The sequence below is a fragment of the Homo sapiens genome, chromosome 1, assembly GCF_000001405.40.
Source record: "Homo sapiens chromosome 1, GRCh38.p14 Primary Assembly".
NCBI classification, from domain to species: Eukaryota; Metazoa; Chordata; class Mammalia; order Primates; family Hominidae; genus Homo; species Homo sapiens.
The window spans coordinates 222,751,093-222,773,204 of NC_000001.11; the positions used below are offsets into that span (position 1 = coordinate 222,751,093).

Consider the following 22,112-nt stretch of genomic DNA (forward strand, 5'->3'; position numbering starts at 1 on the left):
AAAGACAGAAGTAGGCCTGGAGCATAAGGAGTTGTGAGTTGAATATAGTAGGATAGGATAGATTATGCTGCACAGACACCTCCAAAATCTCAGTGTCCTAAAACAAGAAAGTTTATTTCTTTCTCTTGAGAAGTCCACTGTCAGTTTAGGTGGCTTCCCAGACAGGTGTTCTCCGTGTGATAGCTCAGTGTTGCATGCTTCTTTGATCTTATGTTTTCTCCATACTGTGATGTGCTCTCGGGGTTGCTGGAAAAGGAACAGCATGGAGAGTTAAGCAGTGGCAATCAATATCTCCACTAAAAATGAATCATGTCACCTCTGTGTATGTTTCGTTCACCAAAGAAAATCACATGGCTATAATTAATTTTATGGGTGTCTGAGCCTCCTAAGATAGCTGAGAAAAGGAAACACTTTCTTCTAATGGCATAGGAGATAAATGGTAGGCTCAAGGATCAATATGATATTGATTTAATCTCAGCTCTCCTGCCTCTTTGTAACCCAGTAGCTCTGTGCAAATTACTCAACTTCTCAATGTTCTCATCTATAAAACAGGTTTGAGACAGGAAGCAAATATAATTTGAACCAGCTTTATGCAACAAAAAAGAATTTTGTGGAAAGTACACTGAGTTATCAAATGGACACCAAAGGGAGATTAGTCTCAATAGGATCTAAACAGTGTGACAAGCAAGCACCCAACAGGTACTGTCTGTCCATCTCTCATCTTTCTTGCCCATGAGGAAGATGCCCACTCTATAGCTCTTGATAATTCTTCTGTTCAAGTGACTGATATACTAGTCTTTCGTCCCCATTTCAAAGCATAGTGTGGATAGAATCTGTTTTGCTCCTTTTTGTCAAGTATCACTCTCTAATTCAATTAATTGTGGCCAGGGAGATGGAGCCTTGTAGTAGCAACATGGTTATGGGACCTATTTCTGGGTTAAGATGGTTCTCAGGAAAAGGAAATTGCAGTGAGCTAGGTAGGTATCCCATGACTGTTTCATGTTAAAATTGAGGAAAAGCACGTAAAGCTGTGGCTCTAATAAGGTGCTTAAGTCATAGTATCAATTACAATTATTAATATTTATGATGGTTAATTCTATGTGTCAACTTGACTGGGCCACAGGATGCCCAAATTAAACATTACTTCTGGGTGTATCTGTGAGGATATTTCTGGATGACATTAGCATTTGAATTGTTGGACTCAGTAAATGGATTGCCTTCCCAATGTGGATGAGCACCATCCAATCCACTGAGGGCTTGAATGAAACAAAAGGCCAAGGAGGGAAGAATTTGCTCCTTTTTTCTGCCTTATTGCTTGAGCTTGGATATCTCATCTCATTTCATCTTCTCCTGCCCATGGACTGGGATTTACTACCTTGGCTTCTCTCATTCTTAGGTCTTTGAACTCAAACTGATTTACATCACTGGCTTTCCTGGGTCTCCAGTTGGTGAATGGCAGATTGTGGGACTTCTCAACCACCATAATCACAATAAATTCAGTTCCTCATAATAAATCTCATTGTATCTATCTATCCAATTATCTGTCTATCTACCTATGTCTCTATAAATCTATGCTATTGGTTCTGCTTCACTGGAGAACCCTGACTATTATAATATTGAATGAGAATCCCGGTTTCATGGATTCTGAACGGCTTGTCCCCACTGAAGAGTCAGTCTTAGGTCTTCATCTGACATGTTCTGTTAGTCCAGTTTCAAGGTGAAGTAAATCTGAAGGTTTTATCATATTGCAGAAGTGACCAGGTCTATCAGTTAAGCATTGGTTACTTCAGTCTTAGGTGTCTGATCATACTAACAATCTATACCTGATTTACTTACTATTTTGCTTCAGAATAGCCCTAGGAATGGACTGTTTTTGACTTTTCCATTTTCTAAAAAATTATTCACCTCTTGAATATCCACTTATTGATGATTCTAAGGAACTAGGTGGGCTTTTCCCTTTCAGACACCCCTCTCTCTCACAAGAGAAAGAGGGCTGCTCTCCTTTCTCTTTCTTTTGCCCATTAAACCTCTGCTCCTAAACTCAAAAAAAAAAAAAAAAAAAAAAGAACTAGGCAAAACAAAGTGTGATATTTGAATTGAAGAAGTGGATTTTTATCTAGCAAATGTTATACTCTCAATTTAATTTTCTTTTTCACTAAAAGAAAAGATTCTCTTATGGTCAGTGACCATATGCAAATCAATTGAATCTTGAGCAAAATATAATAAAGAAGACAAATGGAACCCAATACCCAGATCTTATCAGGCTATTCCTGCAGGATAAGTCCACAGTTTCTTTAATATTAAAATTAATTCATTTATTTAATATTAATTGGACATCTACTATGTGCCAGTTTGTTTGTTTGTTTGTTTGTTTGTTTTAGGTACTATTAACAAAGAAGACAGAAATCTCTACTTTCCTGTTAGCCTTGAATTCCCAATAGCTAAATGATTAGGACATTCAGTCTTTGTATGGTCAGCCTCTCAGATGGTCCTCAACGATCTCCACCTCCTGCTATTCATACCTTGTGTAGTTCCTTCTCACACTGTACCAGGGTGATTTATGTAACCAAGAGAATATGGCAGAATTAATGATATGCCACTCCAGAGATTGTTATAAAAGATACTTTGGCTTCTGTCTTGATCTTTCTCACTACTTTTCTCTTGGATCATTCATTCTGAAGGAAGCCATCTGCCATGTTATGAGGACACTCAGCCAGTGCAGCAGACTGAATATGTTCCCCCACAAATTCATATGTTGAAACCCTAATCCCATTGTGATGATTTTGGAGGTGGGGCTTTTGGGAGGTAATTAGGTCATGAAGGTGCAGCCCCCATGAATGAGATTAGTACCCTCTCAGAATGGCCTGGTGCAGTGGCTCATGCCTGTAATCTCAGCACTTTGGGAGGGCGAGGTGGGCAGATCATGAGGTCAGGAGATTGAGACCATCCTGGCTAATACGGTGAAACCCCGTCTCTACTAAAAATACAAAAAATTAGCTGGGCATGGTGGCGGGTGCCTGTAGTCCCAGCTACTCGGGAGGCTGAGGCAGGAGAATGGCGTGAACCCAGGAGGCTGAGCTTGCAGTAAGCCAAGATCACACCACTGCACTCCAGCCTGGGCGACAGAGCAAGACTGTCTCAAAAAAAAAAAAAAAAAAAAAAAAAGAAATGGCCAGAGAGCTAACTGGCTCTCTTTCAGCATGTAAGGATACGATGAGAAGTCAGCAGTCTGCATCCCAGAAGTGTGCCCTCACCAGAACCTGACGATGCTGACGTCCTCATCTCAGATTTCCAGTCTCCAGAGCCGTGACAAATAAATTTCTGTTGTTTACAAACTACCTAGTCTACAGTATTCTGTTATGGCAGCCTGAACTGATTAAGACTTGGAGAGCTCATTGTGCTAAGAAACTTTCATCTCCAGCGAACAACCTTTGAGGAACTTGAGGCCTGCCTACAACCACGTGAGTGTGCTTGGAAGACCGCCTTCCTCCAGCCTGCAGAGGATTGCAGCTCCAGGCAACAGCTTGCGTGCAACCTCATGAGAGATGCCGAGCCAGAACCTCCCAGCTAAGCCACTCCTGGATTCCTGACTCATTGAGAATATGAGATAAATGTTTATTGTTTTAAGCTACTAAATGTTATGGTAATTTCTTATAGTGGAATGGATAACTACTTCATTTTTTATTCCTAAATATTCCTAAGGACTTCTGAGGATAAACTCATCCAAGAACTATAATGCACCCAGAAGGAGTACAGGAATTTTACCTTACTCCCTCAAGGCTAGATGGAACTCACTGAGCTGTATCAGATAAGCTTCCTGCCTTACTGCGCTGTGTGGGGGCCTAACTAGGCAACCATTGCCTGCAAGTTGAATCTGGCTGTTTTATTTGCCATCACTGCCAATTCCCATATTTGCCACCTGCTGAGTCACCCAAAGGGATTTTCATTGTACCAGGAAAAACACTTCTACGAAATATTAGTCATGAGCATCCCAAAGTGAAAAAGTTTAGGTACCCAGAAAGTACAGCTTTTTAGCGATAAAATATTTTACTCAGATATCCATAACCATTTTCCTCAAAGCACAATCATAATGTCAAGTTGACTCAGTAGGAAGGTATATAGTTCATTCTCGCACTGCTATTAAGAAATACCTGAGATTGGGTAATTTATAAAGAAAAGAGGTTTAATTGGCTCATGGTTCCATAGGCTGTACAGAAAGCATGGCAGCATCTGCTTGGCGTCAATCATGGTGGAAGGCAAAAGGGAAGCTGGCACTTCACATGGCAGGAGCAGGAGGAAGAGAGAGGGGGAAGGTGCTACACACTTTTAAACAACCAGATCCCATAAGAACTCTGTCATGAAAACAGCACTACCGGGATGGTGCTAAACCACCAGAAACCTCCTGCATGATCCAATCACCTCCCACCAGGCCACATCTCCAACATTGGGGATTACAACTGAACATGAGATTTGGGTGCGGACAACCATACCAGAAGGGGTTCCACCATTGGCCATACTCTATAATCAGAACCAATGCTCTTCACCTACAATCCGGACACTGGTATAGCACTTGTCAGGGGTCCAGACTCTCCCTCTTTTATAGTAGGTTTCCTCTTGAGCCTTTATTATCTTTCCATGCTGTCTGGCCTTGGTCAGTGTCATCCCAGCCCATCTTAACTCATTTTTCTCTCCTTGAACCTGAGAGAAGATGTTGCAGTCCTAGTCCTTTTCCTCCCAGGAGGCATTTCTGCCCTTTGCAAATTCATGGATGCTAAACAAAATGTGGAGAAAACATATTGCCCTGCTCTATCTGGCAGCTTCCAAGATTCAATGATATATTGGGAAAGGAGTAACTCACTTCCCCTTCCAGCAACATGTAAGCCCTAGACTCCTGCCAGGCCAAAAATATCCCCGATTAAACAAATTATGTAGCAGAAAGTCTTTGAATTAATAAACCAAATTTGAATAATTATCTGGTTCTTGATGTTTTTAGTTATTTATTATGACCATACTTCATTGTGCGTAATGCAGGTAAATGAAAGTTAATTTTATTATTTCTCTTTCTAATGATGGATTCATATAAACCTTTACCTTCAGAGTGGAAATTCAGGGAGTCTCAAGTGATCAAAGAAGCTCTTTAGCAAATGCACACAGACAATCTTACCCCCCTTTATCTTCATACATACAAAATTCAAATGTCTTTCCCTGACTGGGCAGTCCTGCCAAGAATTGTTTGGGTCTTTTTCATCTTTGTTGGTGAGGTGGTCCTTCAATTATCTGTAAATGTTTCTATCCTCTGCCAAATTACACCACTTCCAAATGCAAGATATAATTATTTCCTCTACCTACAGCAAAATGAAGCCAAGTACACCTTGAATCATTTTCATTCTCAGGTATCTTATATAGGTTTGCCAAGAGCCGGGAAACACAATGGTCAGCTTTTTAGGCAAAAGTGTTGAAAGCTCTTTAGGGAAAATCTTCTCTGTAAGTTTTCATTTAAGTTGGGAACCAGAGGGGAGTGTCATGGTTCTATCAATCTGAGTTTAATTTGGGTGGGAAGTATTTTTACTGGGAAAAAGAAAATGAAGGGCCCCCAACAAATTACTCAAAAGGAAGTGGATATTATTTTCCTGGAACATTTACTTAATCTGTCATCTTCAAGCCTGCCCTCAGGCTTGACTGGCTGTATAAATCAGGACAAAGTGGCAGAAACAAAATTCTCTTCAGAATTGAGTGAATTTCTGTAGAAAACGTGTCCCAAGGTAAGCATTTTATGATGGTCTTTGGTGTCTTGGGGAAAAAATTTGTTTCAGTGACAGAGCAAGATGACCCCAAGAGTAAGATGACCCCAAGAGCAAGACAGCTCCCAAGAATGTGGTGATGGTGGGAAAACCTACTTCTTTCTCTTCAAATTGTAAGAAGGTAGTTCTTGAAACTTTGTATATAAAATTATTAATGCCAATTTTAAGGAACTGATCAAAATATCAACTTTTGCCTCATTGGCTGATGTGATGGCTAGTTTCATATGTCAACTTGGCTAGGCTCTAGTATCCAGTTACTTAATGAAATATTAAGCTAGGTGTTGCTATAGAGGTATTTCATAGTTAACATCTACAATCAGTTGACTTTAAGTAAAGGAGACGATGCTAGATAATATGGGTGGGGCCCCATCCAGGTAGTTGAAGTCCTTTAAGAGCAAAACCCTGAAGAGAAAGAAATTCTGCCTCAAGACTATATCATCAGCCGGGCATGATAGTTCATGCCTGTAATCTCAGTACTTTGGGAAGTCAAGGCAGGAGGATTGGTTGAGCCCAGGAGTTCGAGACTAGCCTGTGCAACACAGCAAGACCCCATCTCTACAGTCAGAAATTAGCCTGGCGTGGTAGCATGAATCTGTTAGTCCCAGCTACTCGGGAGGCTGAGGCGGGAGGATTATTGGAGCCCAAGAGATTCAGGCTGCAGTGAACCATGGTGGTGCCACTGCGTTTCAGCCAGGGTGATAGAACAAAACCCTGTCTCAACAAAAACAAAAACAAACCAAAAAGAACCCCTACAGCTTCAAGTTTTACATGAGTTTCCAGCCCGCTGGCGTGCCCTACAGATTTCAGACTTGCCAGCCCCCATAAGGATGTAAGCCAATCCCTTGAAATAAATCTCCTTGATTCTGTTTCTCTAGAGAACTCTGACTGATAAAGCTGTTACCCAACATGCATTTAGGAAGTTACGACTACCATATTTAGTTAACTATCACGTGGGCCAGTTGGCCAATATTACCATCATGCGGTGTGCAGGACAGCTGTCTTCTCTGCTTCATCTTAGTTCACACAGTCCAGATTTAAACATGCTTACACTCTCACATTCTTGCACAAAAACCTTTCAAATGACGTTTAACATCTTAATATTTACAAAGAAGTACCTGGGCCTGTGTTCACTCTTTCTACAGATTAATGGCAATCACGTAGAACTGCGTAACTGAGAACTAAAACCTTTCCATCCAGCTGGCTGTGGGACAGCGAGTGGATAAAAGACAGGCCCAGCAGTTCCCACAAGAGGCAGAACGTGAATGCCTGGAATCTGAGAAGGGAACTTGGAGATTAAAGGAAAAGCATAGTGAGTATTCAAGAGCCAGGAAGCCTAGATTTTAACTCCAGGGTCTCTAGTCATTAGCTGGGGGGCCATACTCAGGCCAAGTTTCAGACTTGTCCTCAAAATGAGGATAATAAAAGCCAGCATCCCTACAAAAGGTGAGAATTAATTGAGATCCTGTATGTGAAAGCATTAATCAAAGCTCTATACCAATGGCACATCAGTGTTACCTTATCTCCTTTGGTCTCTTCAACCCCTATCAATAATATCCAGAAATAGAAAACTGGACAATGAGAACATGTGCTAAAGACTATTTCTATGCCCTTCTCTGCATTAATTCCCATAGGAGGTGTGATTTTATGGAAAACAAAATATGTTATATTCACTCCCTCCACCCCATGTTTATACAGTTATAATGGTTCAATTTAGTCCCTATCTATGGAGAAACATGTCATTGTGTGGGAAACATATATAATAATATACTCTTCACCATATAATAAGCTCTTCACCAACTTTCGGGGTTTGAGAGAGCTTCTTGTCTGGGGTGGAAGTGAGGGAAGAGGGCAGGATGGGGCAAATGGAGTCTTAAACCCTTCAGCTGATAGTAGTTTAGGAAAGAGACACCGATCATCATCTTCATAGCAATTAGAAACCTAGAGAGGTGGGAAGAACTCTGGATAATAAGTCATGAAAATTAGATTCTAGTCCTGACTCTGCTACTAAAAAGTTACACGACGTTAGAAAAATTTACTATCCATGGGTCTGGTTTTCTAATTTATGAAATGAGGCAGTTTGGACTAAATTAGCTTTACCTAAAGTATGTTCCTCTGAATATTAATAATTTTTTTGTTTTGTTTTGTTTTGTTTTTTTGAGACAGGGCCTCGCTTTGTTGCCCAGGCTGGAGGGCAGTGGCACAAAAATGGCTCACTGCAGCCTCAAGCTCCTAGGCTTAAGCCATCCTCCCACCTCAGCTTCCCAAGTAGTTGGGACTACAGGTGCATGCCACCATGCCCCTCTAATTTTTTTTTTGAGACAAGATTTTGCCATGTTGCCCAGGCTGGTCTTGAACTCCTGGGCTCAAGTGATCCACCTGACTTGGCCTCCCAAAGTGCTGGGATTACAGGCATGAGCCACTGCAGCAGCCAAATAAGTTTTATATTAAAAAGGAGGATCTGAGAAACTTAATTTTTTGGAGGAATTTGGTTAAACAAAACAAAACAAAAAAGTATCATTGCCACAGAGTTTTTCAGGGTATTAATAAACTAATGTGCCTCATTAAGCTCCAAAAGACAGATAGTCGCAGCCACTTGGGAGGCCGAGGTGGGAAAATCACTTGAGCCCTGGAGTTCCAGGCTTCCGTGAGCCATGTTCCTGCCACTGCACTCCAGCCTGGGTGGCAAAGGGAAGCCCTGTCTCAAAAAACAAAACAAAACAAAAATACACAGTATACAATATTTCCCAATGTATGTGGTCATAAAATCACTTGTGCAAGGAGGATTTCCAGAAGTAGCAGTCTGAGGAACTTACTTTGAGAAACATTAACCTAGAAAATCTATAAAGTGCCTTTTAATTCTAATGTTCTTATTCTATAAAGCTGGGATGGTGCCAAGAAAGTGGACATTTGCCAGTTGTATGAATGACGTGCTAGAGTAGAAAATAGTTTTTATTTTACCAGCATCTCCTTTAAACTTTCTCCTCTTTTAATGGCGTCACTATTCTTGCTGTCAGCCAAGCTGGAAACTTCAGTACTTTAGGGGCCACTTTGACTCTTGGCCATCAATCTGTCCATTGCTAAATCCTGACAATTCATCCTTTATGGTGTCTCTGAAACTCATTTCTATGTCACTAATCCTGTTTCCGGGCTTTACTGATGGACCTGTGTTTTGATTGTTGTTTTGCTGGTGGAAACACTGAAAATTTCTCTAGCAAAGACAGGAAAAGTCTCCTTCTCTCTGCCGGTCTATTCTTTACCTTCACACCAGAGGTTTTTCTTGCAAACCATGAATCTAATCAGATTACTCCTCTTCTCAAATATTTTCAAACGTCCTACAGTGTCACAGAATAAAATTTTAAATTCTTCAAAGTCAGTCAATGTCCAGGCCTAACTTTCCTTTCTTATCTCTATAAGCCAAGCTCCCTGCTCCTTAAAGATATCTTATTTCATGCTTTTTCATCTCTTTTCACATAATTTTCTGTCCTTGAGATTCCTCCCCCTTATCTTTTATTAAAACACTTGTCTCCAATAAAACATTTGTATCACTCAAGACCCAGCTCTAATGCGACCTCTTCTTTGAAACCTTCCCTTGCACCCTTATTTAGATGTGAGCTCTCCCCTCTCTGTACTTGGCTAGTACCTATCTCATCTAATGTGCCCCCTCCTGGTATTATGATGATCTATAAAGTCATGCTAATCATTCTTCAGATAATAAATTTATTGAACACAGGGGTATAGGGAATGACTGGACTAGGCACAAAAACTGCAGCCAGTTCAATCATCTCTGATCTCATTCATTCAGTCATTCAACAACTATTTATTATGTGCTAGGTACTGGGGAACATAAACATGGTTAAGACCTTACCATCAATCCCTTGGTTGCCCTAGTCCGGTTCCTAGTCCTCTCCTTCAGGAGAGGCCCCATTGCAGGTCCATCCCAAATCACTCACATCTTCTTGAGCCAGTTCACAGTTCACAGTTACTCTGTTCAAACAGTAACGGCACAAGCCCCAAATGCCACTGTTGAATGTCCTTTTTGTCCAGGTGGTAAGTGTTCTCTCATTTGAGATCCTTAATGTTTCTTAAAAACTCAACATTAAAAGACACCTGTCCTTTGATCAAATCTCCAAAGCCTCATTTTCAGATTCATCCTATTAAGGCTCTGGAACAAGCCTGCACCAAACCCTCCACAAACCCTGATGCACTTACTTGAGTATTATTTACTGTAACCTTCATGAATGTGCAATAAACACACAGAAGTTCCCAAGGCTGAAGGCTGGAAAGACATGGCAGGATGATAAATAAGCTTTGATGATGATTTCAATGGATGGTAATTTCTTGCTTCCACAGAGACTCCACAAACACAGCTGTCAGAAGTGCATTGTGTAAATCAGATGCTAATTAAATTAAATTCCCACTGGAATTAAGGCAGCAAAGTATTTTGTCTTGTTTTCTTGCAAACTAGGCCTCTCAATCAAGACAGCTGGAGCACTGGCATTTCAGGTACGTGGAGGCAACAGCTGCAATGAAGCAAAGCAACTGCTTTCATGATTAAATTGCCATCAGTAGAAGGAAAAGAGATGCCATTTTTGACATTAGTAATGTTAAAAATTCAAACAATCCAGCAGAAGCAGAGCTGGACTAGGAAAGAAGAGGTCTGGGTTCTGATGTAAGTTTTGGGGAAATCATTTTATGACTCTAAGCTTCAGTTCCCAGCTTCTTCTCCCCTCCTTCCTTCCTTTTCTCCTTCTTTTGTTTCTTCTGCTAAATATTTATTGAATGCCAACTACTGCCAGGCAATGTACTGGGTCCTGAAGACCCAAATACATAGGACATTTTTTGTCCTCTCGATGTTCCTGGTCTTTTTGAAGAACCAGGGGCTGGGACTCTATGGTCTTGGCACCTTCTGGGAGTTCTATCATTCTAAATATAAACTTTTTTAAAACCAGCATTTAGGTGATATTGACTTCACACCACTTCTCTGCTGAGGGATACAGAAGATACATCCCTGACCCTGCCTTTAGTTTTTAGTCTAGTGAGAAACCAAAGCACACATGACTGGAAAGACATTTGATATTCCACAGCCAGAAATAAGCGGGTGTAAGAAAATATTGCCTAAATTATGTAGAGAAGGACTGAAGCAGAAGTTTGAGTAAAGAAGTCATTCAATGAATGCTTTTTAATCATTCATTCAATACTTCATGAAACATTTACTAAATACTTACTATGTGCCAGGTTCTGTGCTGTGTGCTGGGGATACCAAGGAGGCAGTCTCTGCCATCAAGGAGCCTCCAGCTAATTGGGCAGGCAAATATCTACAATGTTAATTATGGTAAAATATGGTTACAGCAATGTTAGAATCATTAGCAATCATTACAATAGGACGCATGGCATGGGAAGAGGTTTACTTGAAAAACAAACTCAAAGCACTACTGAAAGTATTCTATCTCAGACTGGATTAAGAAATTGTGGCACATACACACCATGGAATACTATGCAGCCATAAAAAAGGATGAATTCATGTCCTTTGTAGGGACATGGATGAAGCTCGAAACCATCATTCTGAGCGAACTATTGCAAGGACAGAAAACCAAACACCACATGTTCTCACTCATAGGTGGGAATTAAACAAGAACACTTGGACACAGGGTGGGGAACATCACACACCGGGGCTTGTTGTGGGGTGGGGGGGAGGGGGGAGGGATAGCATTAGGAGATATACCTAATGTAAATGACCAATTAACGGGTGCAGCACACCAACATGGAACATGTATACATATGTAACAAACCTGCACATTGTGCACATGTACCCTAGAACTTAAAGTGTAATAATAAAAAATTAAAAAAGTATTCTATCTCATCTGTTCTTTCAGTTGTCTCTAGAGTTCGTATTCCACAAATCACTCCTATTTATTTATTTATTTATTTATTTATTGAGATGGAGTCTCATTCTGCCACTCAGGCTGGAGCGCAGTGGTACAATCTCAGCTCACTGCAACCTCCGCTTCCTGGGTTCAAGCAATTCTTCTGCCTCAGCCTCTTGAGTAGCTGGGATTATAGGCACGTGCCACCATGCCCAGCTAATTTGTGTATTTTAGTAGAGATGGGGTTTCACCATGTTGGCCAGGCTGGTCTGGAGCTCCTGAACTCAAGTGATCTGCCCGCCTCACCCTATCAAAGTGCTGGGATTACAGGCGTGAGCCACCACACCTGACCCCATTAATATCTTAAGACTTAAAATCCTAGAGAAAGTAACTGTGTGTTGTGTATTTGTTTTGTGCAAGGTAGATCCCAGTATAGGGTAGCAATATCTCTCACAAATACAATCTGATGCTAATGATTATTTACTCAAGAATACATGATGTTATAATAATTAAAATGGAAGACAAACTGGTATATTCATAAAATGGAATACAACCCAACAATAAAAAGGAATGAGCTACGAATATGTATACATGCAACAAGACTAAATCTCAAAAACTAGAATAGGCAAAACTAATCTATGATTGAAAAAAATTAAAACAGTGATTTCTTGTGGGAAGTAGGGGAGGGGATTGATTGGGTAGTGGCATGAAGGAACTCTCTGGGGTCACGGTAATGTTCTATCTTGTTAGCAGTTTATATTACAAAGATCTGTACATTGGGTCACACAATGCATACTTAAGATTTGTGCATTTTGTTTAATACAAATTTTACCCCAAATGAAATTTGTAAGAAGTATTAAACTCCAGTTAATAATCTGTGTGCTGTCATCCTGACACTAAAGCCTGGCAGAGACACAACAAAAAAAGAGAATTTTAGACCAATTTCCCTGATGAACATCGATGCGAAAATCCTCAATAAAATACTGGGAAACCAAATCCAGCAGCACATCAAAAAGCTTATCCACCATGATCAAGTGGGCTTCATCCCTGGGATGCAAGGCTGGTTCAACATATGCACATCAATAAACCTAATCCATCACATAAACAGAAGCAAAGACAAAAACCACAAGATTATCTCAATAGATGCAGAAAAGGCCTTTGACAAAATTCAACAGCACTTCATGCTAAAAACTCTGAATAAACTAGGTATTGATGGAACGTATCTCAAAATAATAAGAGCTATCTATGACAAACCCACAGCCAAAATCATACTGAATGGGCAAAAACTGGAAGCATTCCCTTTGAAAACTGGCACAAGACAAGGTTGCCCTCTCTCACCACTGCTATTCAACATAGTATTGGAAGTTCTGGCCAGGGCAATCAGGCAAGAGAAAGAAATAAAGAGTATTCATTTAGGAAAAGAGGCAGTCAAATTGTCTCTGTTTGCGGATGACATGATTGCATATTTAGAAAACCCCATCATCTCAGCCCCAAATCTCCTTAAGCTGATAAGCAACTTCAGCAAAGCCTCAGGATACAAAATCAATGTGTAAAAATCGCAAGCATTCCTATACACCAATAACAGACAAACAGAGAGTCAAATCATGATTGAACTCCCATTCACAATTGCTTCAATGAGAATAAAATATCTAGGAATCCAACTTACAAGGGATGTGAAGGACTTCTTCAAGGAGAACAACAAACCACTGCTCAACAAAATAAAAGAGGACACAAACAAATGGAAGAACATTCCATGCTCATGAATAGGAAGAATCAATATTGTGAAAATGGCCATACTGCCCCAGGTAATTTATAGATTCAATGCCATCCCCAAGAAGCTACCAATGACTTTCTTCACAGAATTGGAAAAAACTACTTTAAAGTTCATATGGAACCAAAAAAAAAAACCTGCATTGCCAAGACAATACTAAGCAAAAAGAACAAAGCTGGAGGCATCACACTACCTGATTTCAAACTATACTACAAGGCTACAGTAACCAAAACAGCATGGTACTGGTACCAAAACAGAGAGATAGACCAATGGAACAGACCACGGGCCTCAGAAATAACACCACACATCTACAATCATCTGATCTTTGACAAACCTGACAAAAACAAGAAATGGGGAAACGACTCCCTATTTAATAAATGGTGCTGGGAAAACTGGCTAGCCATATGTAGAAAGCTGAAACTGGATCCCTTCCTTACATCTTATACAAAAATTAATTTAAGATGAGTTAAAGACTTAAATGTTCGACCCAAAACCATAAAAACCCTAGAAGAAAACCTAGGCAATACCATTCAGGACATAGGCATGGGCAAGGACTTCCTGACTAAAACACCAAAAGCAATGGCAACAAAAGCCAAAATAGACAAATGGGATCTAATTAAACTAAAGAGCTTCTGCACAGCAAAAGAAACTACCATCAGAGTGAACAGGCAACCTACAAAATGGGAGAAAATTTTTGCAATCCACCCTCTGACAAAGGGCTAATATCCAGAATCTACAAAGAACTCAAACAAATTTACAAGAAGAAAAACAAACACCCCATCAAAAAGTGGGCAAAAGATATGAACAGACACGTCTCAAAAGAAGACACTTATGCAGCCAACAGACACATGAAAAAATGCTGATCATCACTGGTCATCAGAGAAATGCAAATCAAAACCACAATGAGATACCATCTCCCACCAGTTAGAATGGTGATCATTAAAAAGTCAGGAAACAACAGATGCTGGAGAGGATGTGGAGAAATAGGAATGCTTTTACACTGTTGGTGGGAGTGTAAATTAGTTCAACCATTGTGGAAGACAGTGTGGTGATTCCTCAAGGATCTAGAACTAGAAATACCATTTGACCCAGCCATCCCATTACTGGGTATATATCCAAAGGATTAGAAAACATGCTACTATAAAGACACATGCACACATATGTTTAATGCAGCACTATTCACAATAGCAAAGACTTAGAACCAACCCAAATGTCCATCATTGATAGACTGGATTAAGAAAATGTGGCACATATACACCATGGAATACTATGCAGCCATAAAAAGGATGAGTTACTGTCCTTTGCAGGGACATGGATGAAGCTGGAAACCATCATTCTGATCAAACTATCACAAGGACAGAAAACAAAACACCACATGTTCTCACTCGTAGTTGGGAATTGAACAATGAGAATACTTGGACACAGGGTGGAGAATATCACAGGAGGGAGGCATAGAATTAGGAGAAATACCTAATGTAAATGACGAGTTAATGGGTGCAGCAAACCTACATGACACATGTATACCTATGTAACAAACCTGCATGTTGTACACATATACCCTAGAACTTAAAGTATAATAATAATAATACAAAAATCTGTATGCTCAGGTATTTAGAAGGAAATATACTGATGTCTGAAATTTACTTTCAAATGGATCAAAAATAAGATGGATTCATGGATGGATAGGAGGATGAATAGATGGATAGATATATCATAAAGCAAGTATAGTATAAAAAAAATTTTTTTGAGACAGAGTCTTGCTCTGTTGCCCAGGCTGGAGTGCAGTGGTGTGATCTCAACTGACAGTAAAATATTAATGATAGAATCAAGATGCTATGAATATAAGGGTATTCACTATCATAGTCTTTGAACTTGGCTGTATTTCTTTATAAAATTTGGGGGCGGAAAGGATACATGATGGTCCCAAATTGCTGATACCTGTTGGGTGCTCTCTTACAGAAACTGTGCATCTTTCTAAGTCCTAGTGTAAGATAGAGCACCTGGGATCCTGTGTGGTAGCAGTTCCTAATCATAGGTGCATATAAGAATCTCTAGCTGAATATGGTGGCTCACGCCTGTAATCCCAGCACTTTGGGAGGCTGAGGCGGGAGGATCACTTGAGCCCAGGAGTTTGCAACCAGCTGGGGCAACATAGTGAGACCTCGTCTCTACAAAAAAAAAAAAATTTTTTTTAATTAGTGCCCAGTTACTTGAAAGTGGGTGCGGGCTGAGGTGGGAGGATCACTTGATCCCAGGAAGTGGAGGCTACAGTGAGCTGTGATTGCACCACTGCACTCCAGCATTCCAGCCTGAGCAAGAGAACAGAGACCTTGTCGAAAAAAAAAAAAAAAAAATCTCCTCCAACTCACATATCACAGAGACACCCTTGGGGATCTTGATTTCAAGAGGCTTGGAATGGGAACCTGGATATTTGTGTCTATAAAAGCACTCCTAGTAAGTTTTATATGAACCCCTGGTGTGATCTCCTACCACAAGGAATGAATTTCTATGCCTACCAAATAGGCTCTAGAATAAAAATAAAAATAAACCCTACAACAATGGGATTGTTAAGCACCCTCTGGGATCCCTCCTTGGTTTGTAAACAAAATGATCTAAGTGATGGTGCGACAGCCTCCTCCAGCAGGGCCATCACAGCAGCTTGGGCACATCATTTATACCCAGCAAGCGAAAGGGCGTTAAAAGCACGACCACATTGTGGTGTACCTTTCATCTCAGGAGCTCTAATACCAGAGGAAAGACAGTACCTAGGTTGGGGATGAAAAGAGGGTAGGAGAACTTGGGTAGGAAGTGGTTAACCAGGCTCCAGGTTTTTGGCAGCTTATTTCTACTCCCTGGTTTCTAAATGGAAGTAGGATTTGCTCAACTCCCCCTTCTTGCCTTTCATTTCTCCTTTCCCCTGCCCTCTTCTCACATCTCCTGACACCTTTACCACTTTAAAATGCAAATACGAGGACAATACATATGTGGCTATGTCTGTATCTGCTTTCTGCCCCTTTCTCTCCCACTAAGGCTCTGGAAGGCCATTCTGTTCTGTACATTTGTAGTATCCATAACACCTAGCATAGGACCTATGCGTATGGAAGGCACAACAATGAATTTAATTAAAAAGATAAGGTCAAGATTAGAGGTGAAAGGTGGGTGGTGTCTATTTTTCACCTAATCTAAAGAGCAAATGAAAATTTTGACATTTCTCCATGGCCCTGAATGTACTACTGTAAGTCAATTCTGTGTCATCAGTAGCTATATTTTCCTATGTCACATATTTTTGAAGGCATAACAATTCAGAAGTTATCCAGTAGTGACATTTAGTGAGCTGACTTTAATTACTATGTGAAGTTGGCAGTTTTTTATACAGGCTTTCCTAGTTTCCAACAGAGCTGAAAAAAAGCATTGTTCCGAGTTGATATTTCTGGAGGAAGAAATTTAAAATTGCCCCTATTACTCCAAAGGAAAAAACAACGCACTAATCTGTATAGGAAACCTAATGGAGCAAGCCATTTTCAATGGTTAGACCATTACTGCTCTCCCCAGTCCACTTAAAAAGTATGTTATAATGTTTGTCTTTGCCTAGGACTCAACCTACAAAAATATTACACTCCATTTCACTGGAAGCTGCTGTAGACTGACTCCTGTGGTGAACATCTGGAAATGTGCCCCAGAGTAGGGGAAAAAAGAAAAAGAAAAAGAAAATCTTTCATTTGCCACTGTAGAAACAAAGATTAAAAAGCTTAGACTGGGGAGCCATAAATTAGAGAATAAACAATAAGGTAGTGTATAAAAGGACAAAAAAGTAGATTTTAAAAAAGGTGAGCAACTTCCAAGAAACAGCCAAATAAATGGTTTCCAAATTAGTAGATACAACTACTAACTCAGCATTTCCTATAGTGTGATCCTTAGAATACCAGTCCCACAAAATGCGCCATTAAAACACACACACACACACAGATACACACACACACACACACACACACACACACACACACACACACCCCACCACCACCACCAGGTCAAATAAAATTGGGAAATGCTACATATCACAATCCCTTCTTGCAGATTTACAATATGTTTTTTACCTCTGAGATGTCCTGCAGTAGAGAATCCTATTTCACTTTGCTTAACTCAGAGTGTCTTAAACTTTGACCACCAATTAACAGCTATTCATATCCCACAGAACTAGTGTTCTAAGGCAGTGGTTCTTGAACTCTTTGGTCTCAGGACTGCTGTATTAGCTTGGGTCCAAAAAGGAGAGAGAAACCATATGGTAATTTGAACAGGGAATGTTTACTATAAAGAATTATTACTATAACATGGGATTGGCTAGTAAGAAGTACAGAGAACTCTAAAGAATATAAAAATAGCAGATAGAAGCAGCATTCACTAATTTCCCTAGGACTGACATAGAGTATACAAAGGAAGAGCCCTCATAATTCAGGGCTTAGATCCAAACCTTATTGGAGAAGGCAAGGCCCTGGCTCACTGAGTGGCAGAGAAATCACTATGGTTAATGTTGGTGGAACTTGCTGGAAACTTGCTCTCTGAAATTGCTGGAGAATTGCCCTTTAGGGTGCTGGGAAAAGCTGTTCATGGAGAGGTGTCTCAGTGGAGGCATTCTGTTACAAAACCACCCGGAGGAAGGGATGTTGGGGACATTGCTGTCTGCTGGGTGCACATCAGAGGCCTGGTGCTGGAGAAGCTGCCTGTGCTGCAGGAGCAAGGTGGTAGTGAAGCCATGTGTATGCTGCAGGAGCCTCTGGAGAGATCATGTCAGAATCAGGAAGGAAAACATCCTCCTTCTTCAATGTCTCTCTAGCTCCCTCTACTGACAAAGGTTACTGCCAACTAACAAAAGGGTAAAAATTAAAGGGCCCAGATCCGTCTTCACAGAGCAGACAAGGAAGGGTGAATATGGAAATGAGAGGCAATTGATAATCAGCATGGTTGCAACAATTTGAAATTATATATTCATATATTACTTAGTAGCTAATGTTCATTGATCATTTTTCATGTGCCAGGCATCATGTTAACTACTTTATGTCAATTGTTTAATCCACACAAGTCTTTAAAAAGTACTATTCTACCACCATTTTACATATGACACAACCAAGGAATATAAAAATTAAACTGTCCAATGTCATAGAGCCAGCAAGTGGCAGATCTAAGATTCAAACCCAGGCATGTGAATTCAGTCTCTCTCTCTCACCTGAGATTAGGGAGCAGTTTTGCTTTGTGAAATGCTGTCTCTGCTGTGCCTACATAAAGAAAAAATTCATAAACATTTATTGAGTGTATGGTTCAGTGTTTCTCAACCTTTATATATCATTGTCCCCGAAGGAGCCTTTTCAGACATCTTTTCTGAATTGTCTCCCACTGTGAAATTTTAATGCTGTACATATACTTTATATACATATTTATGTACTGTTTGTATATCTGTACTTTATACGTAAAAAGAGCAAGACTCCTGCCCCCAACCTTGAACCAATTTTTGCTTCCTTGGGGGGAGTATCACTCCTGTTGAATATGCTTTAAAAAAAAGATAGCTATACAAGTGGCATGGATTTCATGCCATGCAGATCAGGAAAGGTATGCATGGACTAAGGAATATGAACTTGGGTGAGTCACTTCACCTCTTGGCCTCAATTTCCAGGACTAACAGGGTGTTAGTTCAAATGTCCACATGGTCCAAGTTTGTAACATAAATATGTTAATTAAGCCAGTGTAAAAATATTATGTGGGAGAGACCATGGAAAACTAGAAACACTAAATCTGGTTAGAGCCATTTGCATTAAATTTTTGAATAACACTGTGCCTGCCAAGCAAAACACTTCTATAGGCTGGGTTTGTCCCCAAAGGCTGCCAGTTTGAAATCTTTGGACTAAAGCCCCATTTTAACTCTAAGATTCTTTGTCTTTAATTAAGTAAATAAATGACTCATGGTACCTCTTTGTCACTATGAAAGTTGGAGAAGTTGTGTGGCTTCCAGGTTTTTCTCTTATGAACAGTATTGCCAAAACCATTCTTGTACATGTTTCGTGATGTTCATATGTAAGAATTTCTCTTGGATGGTGTCAGTTGGTCTTAGGAAGCCAACACTAACACAGAGTTAGAAGCCCAAGAGATTTCTTGGGGGTAACATCTGTGAAAGATAAGGGGCATAGGGAGTGGGAAGGCAGGGAGAACCTTCAGACAATGGTGCTGGTCTCACTTGTGAAAGGAGAGGAGCTAGGAAAGAGATTGAGTAGGAAGAGCCTCAGATATTTCTGCAGTGCAGTTCTAAGAAAGTCTTAGCCAGCCCAATGAGAAGCTCTAGAACAAAGATTGCCCATGGAAGAGTCCCTTTTTGGCAAAAAGTGACAGTTCTCTTGACCAGTTTTTGGCTGGGGACTGCCCAGGAAGCTCGTAGCCTCAGCTTGAAAGCTCGGGCAGGCCGGGCACGGTGGCTCACACCTGTAATCCCAGCACTTTGAGAGGCCAAGGTGGACAGATGGCTTGAGGTCAAGAGTTCGCAACCAGCCTGGCCAACATGGCAAAACCCTGTCTCTGCTAAAAACACAAAAAAATGGGCCGGGTGCAGTGGCTCACGCCAGTAATCCCAGCATTTTGGAAGGCCGAGGTGGGTGGATCTCCTGAGGTCAGGAGTTTGAGACCAGCCTGACCAACATGGTGAAACCCTGTCTCTAGTAAAAATACAAAAATTAGCCGGGCTTGGTGGCGGGCACCTGTAATCCCAGGTACTCAGGAAGCTGAGGCAGGAGAATCGCTTCAACCTGGGAGGCGGAGATTGCAGTGAGCCAAGATCATACCACTGTACTCCAGCCTGGGAGACTGAGCAAGCCTCTGTCTCAAAAAAAGAAAACCCACAAAATTTAGCCAATTTTTGTGGTGGTGGGCATGGTGGTGGGTGTAGTGGCCAGTGCCTGTAGTCCCAGCTACTCAGGAGGCTGAGGCAGGAAAATTCCTTGAACCTGGGAGGTTCAAGCTATAGAACAAAGATTGCCCATGGAAGAGTCCCTTTTTGGCAAAAAGTGACAGTTCTCTTGACCAAGATCATGTTGCAGTGAGCCAAGATCATGCCACTGACTCCAGCCTGGGTGACAAGAGTGAAACCCTGTTTCAAAAAAAGAAAAGAAAAGAACAAAAAAAAAGAAAGCCGAGGCAGAGCCTAGAGTCACCCACAGCTGAAGGCTGTCAGTTGGTTGCATTCCCCGTGGCAGCATCTCTCTTAAAAGGATTTAGGAGCAGCACATCTTTTTGGCTGCCATATGGGTATATGGCTAGGAATTGATTATGTCTTTTTGGTTCTCTTACTATTTAAAAAAACTGCATGTATTACATTGTTGAAAAATAATATAATTTTAAACAGCAACCAAGAAAACAAACATTTAAATATTTTTTACAGGAGTGCAGGAGACTGAATGTAAGGCCCTGATACCCTCCTTCTGCTCCACTCCAGCTACCAACCACCTGTCCTGAGTGGATGATCTGAGAGGGCAGCAGGCAAGTACATTTTGGAGGATATGAACAAGGCCTGGGGCTCTGCCACAGCAGGGGCATAGAAAGTCTTGAAAGAACTTTATTCCCCTCTGGATCCTACCAGATGTTGAAGATCTACAGCAAAGCTCTGGGGCAGAGATTAGAGTGTGTGAATTATGGGTTTTCTTAGAGGAAGGGGAGCCACAGCCTGTGTAAGTGTTGTGTGGGGGGCGGGGGGCGGGGGGGGGCGGTGAGCGAGGATCATCTGGTTTCCCTGGCCCCTAGGTGGGGACCATGGAGCGAACTGGAGAAGCAGGCTGGGTCCTTCCTACTCCTGAGGCTGGCAGAGCACACTCTATAGCTGAGGAGACTGGAAGTTAAAGGGTTTCTTCACAAGCAACTGACAACTTGCCAGCTGTATGTGTCTTCTTCTCTCTCTCTCTCTTTTCTTTCTTTCCTTCTTTTTTTTTTTCTTTTTTTAAATTAATTCAGAGTCTCGTTCTGTTGCCCAGGCTGGAGTGCAGTGGTGCAATCTCGGCTCACTGCAGTCTCCGCCTCCTGGGCTGAAGAGATTCTCCTGCCTCAGCCTTCTGAGTAGCTGGGATTACAGGCACACATCACCACACCTGGCTAATTTTTCTATATTAAGACGGGGGTTTCACCATGTTGGCCAGGCTGGTCTCGAACTCCTGACCTCAAGTGATCCACCTGCCTTGGCCTCTTAAAGCGCTGCGATTGCAGGCATGAGCCAGCGCACCCAGCCGTGTATGTGTCTTCTTATTGCTCACTGAATGGCTGCTGCTGAAAGCACACTAAGGAAGTAGATCTGAGTCCCAAGGGTGCATAAAGCCATGTGAAGGCAAAATTATATAACGCTGCACTCAGGAAGACTAACAGCCAGATAGAAACAACAAGCAGAATACACAGAACAGGCAACTTCTAGGAAATAGAACTTGAACAAAAAATTACAGCAAAGGACTTTCTAGAACTAAAAAGAAGAACTCTTATATTCAAAATTTAGTAGATAAATTGAAGGGAAAAGATACTCACTGTTGAAACACTAATTAGTTCCCCAAAAGCTCAAGTTGAAGCAGTATCTCAAAGCCCAGGGCAAAAAATATAGAGAAGGAAATGTGGTACAGAAAACAAAAACAGATGGATTGCCTGAGGCCGGAAGTTTGAGAC

General features: G+C 41.0%; 1 long non-coding RNA gene across 4 annotated transcripts, besides 2 other annotated features; it reads right to left on the reverse strand.

Moving 5' to 3' along the window:
• Positions 1-89: 89 nt before the first annotated feature.
• Positions 90-22,050, reverse strand: LOC105372984 (uncharacterized). 4 transcript variants are annotated; one of them, XR_001738487.2, is made up of 5 exons: positions 21,978-22,050; positions 18,658-18,706; positions 11,027-11,116; positions 10,011-10,321; positions 90-246 (listed from the first exon to the last, which is right to left on the reverse strand). It is a non-coding gene; the product is annotated as an uncharacterized LOC105372984 (long non-coding RNA). The 4 variants fall into 4 exon arrangements; XR_922641.3 differs by lacking the exon at positions 18,658-18,706; XR_001738488.2 differs by lacking the exon at positions 10,011-10,321.
• Positions 21,403-21,502: an enhancer, noted in NCBI's record as "active region_2583". NCBI's record gives its function as "activates an Ori minimal core promoter by ATAC-STARR-seq in GM12878 lymphoblastoid cells {active_cell/tissue: GM12878}" and the evidence as "EXISTENCE:reporter gene assay evidence [ECO:0000049][PMID:35858748]".
• Positions 21,993-22,042: an enhancer, noted in NCBI's record as "active region_2584". NCBI's record gives its function as "activates an Ori minimal core promoter by ATAC-STARR-seq in GM12878 lymphoblastoid cells {active_cell/tissue: GM12878}" and the evidence as "EXISTENCE:reporter gene assay evidence [ECO:0000049][PMID:35858748]".